General features: G+C 32.9%; 1 protein-coding gene across 32 annotated transcripts in view; it reads right to left on the reverse strand.

Annotated features, from left to right (window-relative positions):
• Positions 1-12,106, reverse strand: part of RFX3 (regulatory factor X3) — a 307,705-nt gene that overhangs the window by 40,149 nt on the left and 255,450 nt on the right. For all 32 annotated transcript variants that reach the window (XM_047423701.1, XM_047423699.1, NM_001282116.2 and 29 more), the window contains 3 exons: positions 11,926-12,080; positions 7,763-7,860; positions 4,490-4,639 (listed from right to left, as the gene is read on the reverse strand). In XM_047423701.1, coding sequence (XP_047279657.1) covers positions 4,490-4,639; positions 7,763-7,860; positions 11,926-12,080 — 403 coding nt within the window. The remainder of the gene's footprint in view (positions 1-4,489; positions 4,640-7,762; positions 7,861-11,925; positions 12,081-12,106) is intronic.

The raw sequence follows: 12,106 nt of genomic DNA on the forward strand, positions 1-12,106 counted from the left end.
GGGACATTTCAACCTGAAGGCACTTCAAATGCAAAATGCCCCAAACTCAACTTATTTTATTTTCCCAGGGAAACCTACTGTTTCTTCTATATCTCAGCTGATGATACTATTCACTGTCTTTTTTCCTCTTATCTAATTAATCATAAATCCATTCAGATGTTACCTTCTGAATACCACTTTTAAATATTTTAAGTATACTAAAATATCATTATAGAAAAAACTGTGAATACAAATAAGCAAAAAAGGAACAAAACATTAAGAATACTTAAAATGGCAACAGTAAGAAATTACAGCATATTGATGTATGTACCTTTCAAACTTTTCACATGCATATAGAAATAATTTATGCATATATCATCATATATATACACTATATTATTTATGCATACATTTATATTTTAAATATATATTTGTATTATAAAACACATATATCTACACATACATTTTATATTATTATATGCTTATACATACTTAAATGTTTAAAATAAAAGAGGATCATATTATATTTTCTATTAGATATTCTGCTTAGTTTCACTTAGAAATATTTAATAACCATCTTTCCATGTAGGCAAATTAGACCTATCTTCATTGTCCACTGAATGAATTTGTTTTATTGCATCATATACTATTATTTACATAACCAATCCCACATAGTTAGACATTTGTTTGTTCCAACATTTTAGTATTACAAATAAAGCTGAAATTAGCAGGAGAGGTTTTTTTTGTTTGTTTGCACGTTGATAATTGGAAGGAGAAACTTACTAGTATCCATGAAGGAATTTAATTTCATTTCTTACCATAAATTCAAACTCACTATTTACTTGGCAGTTAGTTTTTGCCAAGAAAAGATGATAATCTAAAACCTAACTTAGAGAAATAAAACCACAGCACATTATTCTGGCTTTTCAAACTACTTTATATTATACTTCATTTTACTACTCTCTAAAGTGAAAATATACTAACAATAGAGCGCATTGTAAATATTCCCTTGTGAAACGAATGTAGATATTTCAAGTCTATAATTAAAAAAGCTAAGGACACTTAGAGATGTTCTTAAATTAGAAAAAAAAAATATCCAAAATGAAAAGTAGTCAGGAACTTCAAAATCAGAATGCCTTTTAAATACAGAAACACAACTATATGCAATAGCTAAGTTATCAGGTCAGCCCACCGAAAGCTATTTAGCCCATAATGTAGATCTCAAAAACCACCATTTACACAAAAAATTAGAGAATTATGCCATCGTAATACTATCAATTAAATGAAACAGGAAACCAGTTATACTGCAATAGAAAAATTATCTTAAATGCATAAAGAAAAGAAAATTTAATTAGAGGAGAATGAAGTAGTGAAAAGTGATATATGGATATCCTGAAAGGAACTTTTTAGCACTTTCAAGCTCTTAAGTGTATTATAATATTGACACACATGTAATTTCATTGTTTTAAATAGAAGTCTCCTTATTACAAGAGCATCATTCTTATATTGTCAGATTATTGAGGTTCATGTTATAGAAGCTGGGACGACTTCCAAATGAACTGGAGATGGGGATAAAGGTAAAATGGGAGGCAAGGGACTCTGGGAAAATCTGGCAAAACTAGGAAAAGAAAAGGAAAGAAATAAGGGTGTTAAAGAGGAAAAGTGCTACCTTGAGAAAGAGATTACTCATTAATATGTACAGAGCTGTGAAAAGTAAAATGTAGGGGGAAATGAAGGGCTCACTACTGTGTCATGGTACTCTGAAGAAAGGAAGAAGGTTTTGGAGGGCAGATGCCGAATCATATGGGTTTCAGGAGTAATGGCTATCATGGTGGACCCAGAAAAACATGATAGTCAAAAATAGAGGAAAAGAAAGGGTATTCTTAAAGTTGGCAGGTAGAGGATAAGTCGTACAGTAGACATATCACTGATCATTAATATGCAAAAATGTTCCCAAGGTTAATGCTTATAACCAGGGAAGAACTCATTTGTAGAAATACTTCATTGGAATGCAGATACACAAATATATATATATGTATTTATACATATAATAATGCTAACAGAACACTGAAAAACTTTTTCGGATATTATTATAAATAATTCTTTAAAATGTTTTCTGTTACTGAGTTTAAATTACTTTCTGAAACTAGAAGCTGCCTTACTTCTTCAACTCTTCTTAAGAGACTTTTAAACAAATCTTTTCTGAAAAAAGATTTGAAATAAATATTACAGTATAGATTTTAAGGCAATATTAACTTTTAATACTCTTGCTTATTCAGTTAATACATCCCACGGAAATATGTAAAGTAAATGGTTTTGTAAAGCTGAGAAACTTTGTTCTTGTAAAGATTATGTACTTGTATGTGTGTATGTGTTTTTCTAGATGGATAGATGATATTTTTTAAAACTTCATATATATAGTTTTAAATTAGATATAAATAGATATAAATATCTAATATAAAATATTAGATAGATATAGATCTCTCTCTCTATATATATATATATCTCAGAAGTTTGAACCCAGTCCATGAAAGTCTCAATGAACAACTAATTTTTATCGTACTCTAAAATGGATCAAGCCCAAATGTTACTTTTTGGTATATTTTAAATGACAAAACTAGGCAAGAAGTAGAAATTAAAATTTCTAGAAAATAAAATAATTACTAATTAGCTTATTTTTAAAACAACAGTAATGTTTTTTAACAGCTTTACTGAAATGTAATTCACATATTATACAATTCATTCATCTAAAGAATACCGTTCAAAGGTTTCTTTTAGGATATTCACAAAGTTGTACATCACTGACCACAATCAATTTTAGACCTTTTTAATTTTCCTAAAAATAAACCCCATGACTCTTATTTGTTACCTCCCAGTCTTCTCAATCCCCCAGGCCTAGGTAACTACCAATCTACCTTCTGTCTGTATAGATGTATCTATTCTGGAATTTCATACGAATGGAATCATGTCACGTGTGATCCTTTGTACCTGGCTTCTTTCACTTAGCATCATGTTTCCAAGGTTCATCTATACTGCAGAATGAATCAGAACTTCATTTCTTTTTATTGCCCAATAATATTCCATTGTATGGATAGATCACATTTTGTTTATCTATTAATCAGTTGACGGACATTTGGGTTGTTTCTGCTTTTATGTGGCTAATATAAATAGTGCTGTTATGAACCTCTATGTATAAGTTTTGTGTGGACATGATTTCATTTCTCTTGGGTATACAACAAGGAGTTGAACTGCTGAGTCATACGGTAACTATATGTTTATCTTTTTGACAAACTGCCACACTGTTTTCCAAAGTGGCTACAGCATTTTATATTCTGACCAGCAGTGTATGAGGTTCCAATGTTTTCACATCCTCGCCAATAGGGTATGTTATTATATGTCTTTTTGCTTAGACCCATTTTAGAGTATACGAAATGGTACCTCGCTGTGGTTTTGACTTGTATTTCCCTGGTGGCTAATGACATTAAGCATCTTTTAATGTGATTATTGGCCATTTGTATGTTTTCTTTGCGGAAATGTCTACTCAGATGTTTGTCCATATTTAATCAGGTTTTCTTTATTACTGGGTTGTAATGGTTCTTTATATATTCTATAAACAAGTCCTTTATCAGATATATAATTTGCAAAAATCTTCTCACATTCTGTGGTTTGCCATTTCACATTCTTGATGGTCTCTTTTGAAACCCCAAAGTTTTAAATTTTGATTACGTACAGTTTATGTATTTTTCCTCTTGTTGCTTATGCTTTTGGTGGGCAATGCTATTGTTTTTATTTGGTAACATTTAGATTCATTACTTTAGAATCAAAAATAAAGTATTTATTGATATTGAAACTCTATAATAATGTTTCTAACTTAGCTTTTAAAATATACTTTAAAGTACAAGTGGGTAATGTGATCACAAGGTTAAAAAATATTTTTTCATTTGAACTACCACAATAGTTGAACTTATTGCATATAATTCTTTTCAAGTGAATAAATATTTACTAGGCAGCTATAGTAAACTCTGAAATAGAATTGTTCTTAGTTCTTTCAAGGAGGGGCAACAAAATAGAAATATCTCTGCATGTCATGGTACAAATTATTAAATATATAAACAATAATCTAAGACAGGTGTTGTAAGGTGGGGAAAGTGAAGCCTAGAGCAGTTAAGTAACGCAATTGCCCAAGATCCCACAGCTGGTATATGAGACAGCTTAATTTCTTGCCTGTCTAACTTCAATGACTGTGACCTTTATTACTCTACTAACTATTCAGCAAATGCTGGTGATATATTACGTTGTCTTTTAGGACTGTAAATGTGAGCTTACTTTAACCACAAACATGGGAGCACTACAGCTGTATCTGGGTCAAACTCCTCTCTTTCAGAACACTGTGAATATAGATGCTGCCATATATAGATGAGACTTTGAAAAGAAATTTGATGATCCCAATTAAGAAGAACAAATTGGGTATCTTTCCTTAAGAGACATGCTTTGCAAGGAAATAGAATACCTGGACATTGGCAAAGTCGACACGGTTGAGGTCACTAAGCATCTGGTTGATTTGGGAAGTGTTCTGAAGCACTGCACGAGCTGCCTGGGCCAGGTGATTAAGCGACGTGTATCTTCGCAGAGTCTGGGCAAAGGCACTTACAGCGGCAACCTGTAACGCAATCCAATTAAGTTGGGATTCTGTTTCCTCCAGTAAAAGAAACCACTGCAATTTTCAAATCTTCTTTCCCTTCACAAATTTTAAATGCTTGCCTCTGACACTTATTTAAAATTCATTTGGTGAGAGAGTTTACTTGTAAATTACAGCATTTAAATCTCTAAACCAAGTATTATTTTCCTTCTGAGTAGGTTGAGGTCAAGACTAAAACAAACTCCCACATTCTTCGACATCTGAGCGTAGCATTAATTAAACTAGTCTTGCAAGTGACTACTCATCCACAGTAAGAAATGACTTTGAGTAGGGAAGCAAGAAAAATGTTGGTTTTCATTTCTTTTTTTTACTGTTCTTTGGACAGTCAAGTAGAAACTAGGCAAATTTTAAAAGTAGGGATGTGCAGTTTGCCCTTTCAAATAAAAAGAGATCTGGACATTCCTACTCTTTACATTGTATTTAAAAATGCATGTGAGAGCATTACCATTCAGATTTATTCTTACTACCTTTATTTTATAGAAACGAGTAATTTTGAGGCGAGATTATCAGAGGCAACCAACTAGAATAACCTTTTTTCAGAATTAGAGTTTCTTTAAAAGGGCTATGCGGGAAATTTCTATTTGCCTCTCAAAATCTACTTTCCATTTTTCTTCATCTTGTTCTGTGCCCAGGAAGATTGATCCGAATGGACCACATTAACCTCCCCTCTTGTTCTCTGGCTTCCACCTGGGTTTGACCAATAACAGGCACTGGCAGGAGATGGAAGGATGGGAAGAAAGAGCGGTTACCAGGGTACTTATTCACTGCAACCTCTGCTTGCTGCCTGTTAGAGCGGAACCTGCTTTCCTTTTCTAATGTTACCACAGTCCTGAGGGAAAGAGTGGATTTCCTAATGCCATAACTTTCACCTCTCACCCCTTCATTCCTAGGGATGGTTAGAATTCCCACTATTGCTAGCCCTGGGATGCTTTACTATTCCTCTTTGTTTTTTTCAACTCTGTTCATACCTTTGGAAATAAACTCTTCTTAAACTCTGTTTATCCCCACCGTTGGATGCACGATTTGTTGCCTGTTCAGACCCTGAATGAAGCAGTTTATTTTGAAAGACAGCAAAGATAATGCAAAATGTCTACATGAAATCTAAATCTCATAATCTCATGGAAATTTGTTATGTGCACAATATAGATCTAATGATTTTAATCTTTTAAAAATATATTTTAAAAATAGACACATCTACAGGAATGTATAGTATTGCACTCAATCACTATATGGGTATATAAGGTACGAGCAGTTGAATGATCAATTGGGAGCGGTAGAGGGTGTTCACAGGGAACAGGATGCTCTATCTTGACATGAGATGTTTGAGGACTATTTGGAACTTGGGGGGAAGCTCATACGTCCTCAAAAAAGAACCTTATTCCATTTTTGTGGTTTACATTAATCCAGTATATACTATGTGCCAGGCTCTGGGTTAAGTGCCTTACATATATTATCTTATTCAAGTCTCATAACTATCTTATTAGACACATATTATGATTTAAAGAAGATAAGTAGCTTGCTCAAGGCTGCAAAGAAACTTCATTACTGATGGGAATTGACCTGGGCATTTTGATTCCAAAAGCCACAGTAGTTGGAATGCTGTTTCCTCTGTCAGGGTAAATTGTCTCTGTTAATTGAATGTGGAGAGGAAAAAAGACTGCATATCAGTGAAACCAGAAGAACAGACGGTACCCTCTACTGTGGTGAATCATTCAACCAAACTCTGGAGGTCAATGAGATGGCCAACGTTGCAATTGGATTGTTACCACATTCACTTTGACAACACTGGGAAGGGAAGTGCTTTTAGCTGTTTGAGGTATTGTTACAAATGTGACTGACTGAAAGTTGAAAAGGATTCCTTGACCATAATCAAAGGCCACCTTCTTTCTTGCACACCTCCATGTGGTATACAACAGCACTGCCAAAGAGAACTCTCTGCCATGATGGACATGCTCTACATATGCCAAAGAGAACTCTCTGCCATGATGGACATGCTCTACACATATGCTGCCTAACATGGTAGCCAGCAGCCAGAGGAGGCTACTGAGCACTCAAAATGTAGCGAGTATGACTGAGGAGCTAGTTTTTTCATTTCACTTAATTTAAAATTCTAATTTAAATAGCCACACGTGGCTGGCCCTACTGTGAAAGCACATTTCTAGAGGAACAATCTAATATGGGCACATCAATGAAATGTTGCCTTCTATATGTTTTAGAGAGAGAAAGTTTTATTGCAAACTTTAAGCCCAAGCAAACGAACTGGAGGCTACTTATGTTCCCACAGAGGTTTATCAGCTAAAATAACTTCAATTGCTCAACTCTGCCCCCCGATTCAAAGGCAAAGTATATTGCTGGAGTCTGACAGTAAATACAGTCATTGACAAGAAGTCACAAATGTGATTTCTGTTACCAACATTTAAATAAAATTTAGAAATAGTCCAATCTTGCTATGAGGATATGTTCACAGATTAACTGGAAGCAGCATGGCTAGTAGGAGACAAAGTAGAGACTAAAATTTGTATCTCTAGCTAAATAATCCACATTCCTGAGATATATTGATTAATTATGAGTTAATTGTTCACTTTATTCACAAAAGCATTCTCCAGTGTTTAGAAAAACACCAAAACATCCTGAAAAAGCAAAACAATATTAATTTCTATGAACTTTTCAGGATATGATAAGTATAGCAGGAAATTTTAGAAATAGAAAATTCCTTCAAATGAAAACTATTTGAACATTCTAGGCTATTATTTTAATATTTGAAATTAAACATTTATAGTTTATATCTTTCTCACAGATATAATTTAGAATATATATATCTACTATATTGTTTAGAAAGAGCTTATAAATGCACCACACTTAAAATGCTTCCCTATTCTCTTTGAAAGGAACATTGTCAAACATCTCTTGTGCAAGTTCTTTACTACATGGTTATAAAATACAAATATAAAAATCAGTTTTAAAAGATGATGTATGTTATAACCTCAACATTTTACATAATACCATTTGATAGGATAGATGTAAAGTTCACAATTCAGAATAATTTCCTCAACACAAAAGAAAAAGCAAGGACATAAAGTATACCTTGGTTTGTATCATTCTCTGTGGAATATTGTTCATGGCATTGGAAAGCCAACCTTCAAGGCTTTTTGCAAAATTTCGAATGGCTTGGGTCAAGGCACCTAAACATTAAAGAATAAAAGCAGGATAAAAAAAAGTATGAAAGAATATTAATGTTTGTGCTAGAATAAAAGAAAATGCTCGTACACAATATCTGATACAGCACAGAACTCATATTGTCCTCATTGATGAAACTTTATTTAACATTATTCCTAACTTTTTAAAGCATCCAAGAATTATATTTTGGGCTTTTTCTTTTAAAGTTATTTTGTTCCCAGATACTTATGACGCTTTTTTGGGAAAAAAAAGGATTCAAACATTTTTGCTTACAGCAACATATACCAGTTGTGAATATACTTAAAGAATTTTCTTGCTTGGAAAAAAACACTCCTTTCATTAACAGTTTTGTGCTAAAGGCTATGTATTTTCTTTAAAATTCTTCATCTTGTTCTTTCAAGCTCTTAATCTATTTTCATTTCTTTTATTAAAAAGAAAAATAATGCAAAGCTTGCTCTGTTTCTCTATGCATCTATTTACTTAGAATCTGTGAATTAGAGTAATTCTCTCTCATCCTTGTTGAAAAGGTAAAAATTAAAATTGTCTGAATTGAAATTTTTGGGCAATTATTTTCCATTTCATTTGGCAGGTAGAGGTAAACGATCAGTATGATAAAATTGCTGTTACGGAAACCCGTATTCTTAAGATACTCCTAAAATAGCTCATTCTGTATCCTTGACATATCTGTTAAAACCTGAAATAGGGATAGGTCCCATGACAGAAGATTTTACGGTGGTCATAAAATAATGAGAAGCATCTTCAGTTATCAGTGATGACTATGACTATTTTATAAGAAAAAATCTGCTTACTGAGATTGCTATATAGTAGGAGACAGAATACTTTCCTTGTTCAACAAGTAATCCAGTTAATAGTATTTTACTTCCTCTGTGCCCAAGGCTCCATAGTAATGTAGAGGAAAATTAGAGACATTTAGTAGACAAGTGCCTGAAGCACCCACAACATAAAAGTAACCTTTGTAGGTTCTCTATAATGGGGTAGGTATCAACATATGCTACTATAAGAAACACAGTTATATTTTGGGCCGAGGTCCCCAGGAATATTAATATTACGGATGGGCTTAAATTCCTTGGTTTTTCTTTCTGTGCTCAAATGAGTCTGACATGATTCTCTATGCTTCTGTTAAAACCAGGTTTTATAAATAATTTCACTTACTCAAGTTATTTGCAAACAATATAAATTTTCCCATTCCAATAATAAAGACAACTAAATGTGTTTTTAAGAGATTTGTTTAACTGTTCAAAACTGGAGAGACGAGATTGGAACGGGCTAAATTTTGGTTAGGAAAAACACTCAAGCAGTGCAGATCCTTAACCACGAGGATCATCTACTGGAAACACTGAATTGGAAATTTCTTGAGAACTAATCTTTTGAAACCTTCAAAGCTTCCCATGTTAGTCAAAAAAAGAAAAAGGAAAGAAAAATATTTTTCTGTTGTATTATGTGCTAGAACCATGGAGGGCAGGCATGAATGGAAATGAAAAAGAGTGAAAAAAAATTAATAATCCCTTTTGAAACAGTAAAATTTTGTTCAAGGTTCATTTTGGCAATCTGCATTTTCCATTTTTCCTACAATTAGTGTACATTAATTATTTAATCTGAAAAATAACCCCCAAATCTATAAATATTACTTTAAAAATATTTATTACGGGCCTTGTTTTATCTAGATAAATTTAATGCAAGGGCAATTAGGTGAGAAAAGATATATTTTGCATTTTAAATAATTGTGAATTTTTACTTTTTCTACTAAATGATATTCTGGGCCACCTCTGGTTATACTTCCAATTGTACATTTAAGTGTTACCCATTGAGTGCTCATACAATTAACGTTTTTTTCATTTTCAGATAACTGCATTTTAGAATATAGTAGCTTCAAGCTGACATTAAATTAGTGTGATGTGCAGAATTTTTTTAGCTAAAAAAAGAAATCCCATCTGGACAGAAAATGGTAGAGTGAAGTGCTAGTAGCCAGGAAAATACAATTTTTAAAAATAAAATTAAGTTTGCTCTCTCTACAGGGATTCATGTATGTACAAAATTGTGCAGATTGACTCTGACAACTTTCAAAGCCTCATGAATGGATGGTTTGGAATTTAAACTCTATTCCAAAGCTGACTTGTCTCAACCTGCTCAAGATTAATACTAAAATGCATACAAGCAGAAGATAGCTATCTAAATTGTATTTTAAGCTTTACTTTGCTACACCTCATTGTAGAATGGGAATTAAATTTCCAAATTTTCTTGGCAGGGTGGTATATCAATGCATCTTATAATTTCAGAGAGACTACAAAACTATTCGGGTGTCTGCTTAATGTAGAGACAAGCTATTTGACAGAATAAACTGGTTTTCAAATCAAAATTTGCAAAAGACAAAGGCCAGTGTATTGTGTACTTAAAATTATGGGCTTGAATTAAACTAAAATTGATACAAGATTTAAAACAGAGAACTGTTAAACTCACAAGTTAAAGTCTTATGGTGCTGTTACAGAAGCAAAAGATTTTAGAACTGTTTAATGAATACTGATGTTGTTGATTTGCCTCAAAAAAGAAAGTACTTGCTGACATCCCTTCTTTTATCTCATGAGAAAAATTTTATGTTGGTAGTAAGATGTCATAGGCTAATGAGCTACCCTATGCAACTTCTTATAAACATCTCTAGAGATTATCACTCAGAGCACAGGGAGCAAGAGAAAAACAAGGAAAATCCGATTCTGGAACATAAATCAGTAGAGAATTTAGCTAGTGAAACTTTCTAAAACATCACTTTTAATCAACCTTTAGCCAGGAAACTTGCTGTAGGTAGAGTAGAATATATTACCAATTTACAAAATTGTGAGATAATGTCAGCTAATTTTTTTTTTACTTATTCCTATATAAATTTACGTGTGTTCATTAATATTATATGGAAATATGTTTAAGCATACATTTCAAGGTGGCCGGGAACATATTAAAGATCTCATACCTTCTACTGTTGTCTATTGTTATTTAGAAAAAAAGAAAGTATAAGCATACAAATGTTAATATCTTCCCCTTTTGTTCTACTAAATTCCTATTTTCATATTTTCTAGAATAATTTAACACAAATCATCTGTGAATAGTATACTTGAAGTACACAGTAGCCAACTTCACAAGCTATATGCTTGCTTTTACTTTATTGATGTCAATGTAGAGTAGTAACTGTCTCATTTCTTAAAAAGTTAAGGTCACTACTGTGTACTCATATAGATATAGGCATAAAATAGTTTCAGCTGCCTCTAACAGTATCTGTGGTAGCGTTTATATCGATACTTGAGAAAATAGCTTTGTTTGCTACAAAGTAGTTTAAAAAGCACCATCACTTAAAAAGGTAATCTAACCTATCTATGTAATTCCCATTTTCTTCATAGTGGGATTACAATGCTTGTGTAGTTACAAAGATTTTTCTCTCAAAATGCCAGTTAACCATTACTGCTAATGGAAACCGCATCTGTAGTTCCTAACATGATGTAGGTGACAAAGTAAATGCTTTTATAATGGAATTCAACTTCAGTGGAAATCAAGATAGATTCACTTCAAGTCAAAAGCAACCGTGAAGGAGGTTGGCCTAGCAATTACAGATTTCCATAATTTTTGGCTTTATGAAGGAGACTGTGTCCTTGGGTAGAATAATTTTTATACGGTTGACTGGCCTGCTAGTGTTCTTACAAGTAGTTTACTGGGGCTGTTATATCTACAGGTTGGCTTTTCTATCAAAAAAAAGAAAAAAGAAAGAAAGAGAAAGAAGGAAAGAAAGAAAGAAAGAAAGAAAGAAAGAAAGAAAGAAAGAAAGGAAAGAAAGAAAGAAAAGGAGAAAGAAAGAAAAAGAAAAGAAAGACTGAAAAATAGATCATCTGTTCCCTTTTACTACAGTTTTGCTCTAGGCTGCTTTCACGCAATATTCTGTGTTGCATGTTTTCTATCTGGCAAATCTAAATGAAATTAGAATCATTCTAGATTGCAATGTCACTTCTCAAAACTTCCTGGGTGGAATGTATGAGAACAAAAGCATCCGTACTCGTCTGCATTTAACTTACTAGGAATAGGTCTAAGGACGTCGGGGATGAGAATCTCCACCAAAGCCTGGTACATCCCATGGTCACAGTTACACATCCATTTCAGGATAGACTCATGTTTGCACAGAGTTATCAGCTTTGCTTTCGGAAGTCGACTTTCTATTTCACTCAGATTGCTGGTGTGAATAAATGTAGCAAATGA

Source organism: Homo sapiens, chromosome 9 (genome assembly GCF_000001405.40).
Source record: "Homo sapiens chromosome 9, GRCh38.p14 Primary Assembly".
Lineage (NCBI taxonomy): Eukaryota > Metazoa > Chordata > Mammalia > Primates > Hominidae > Homo > Homo sapiens.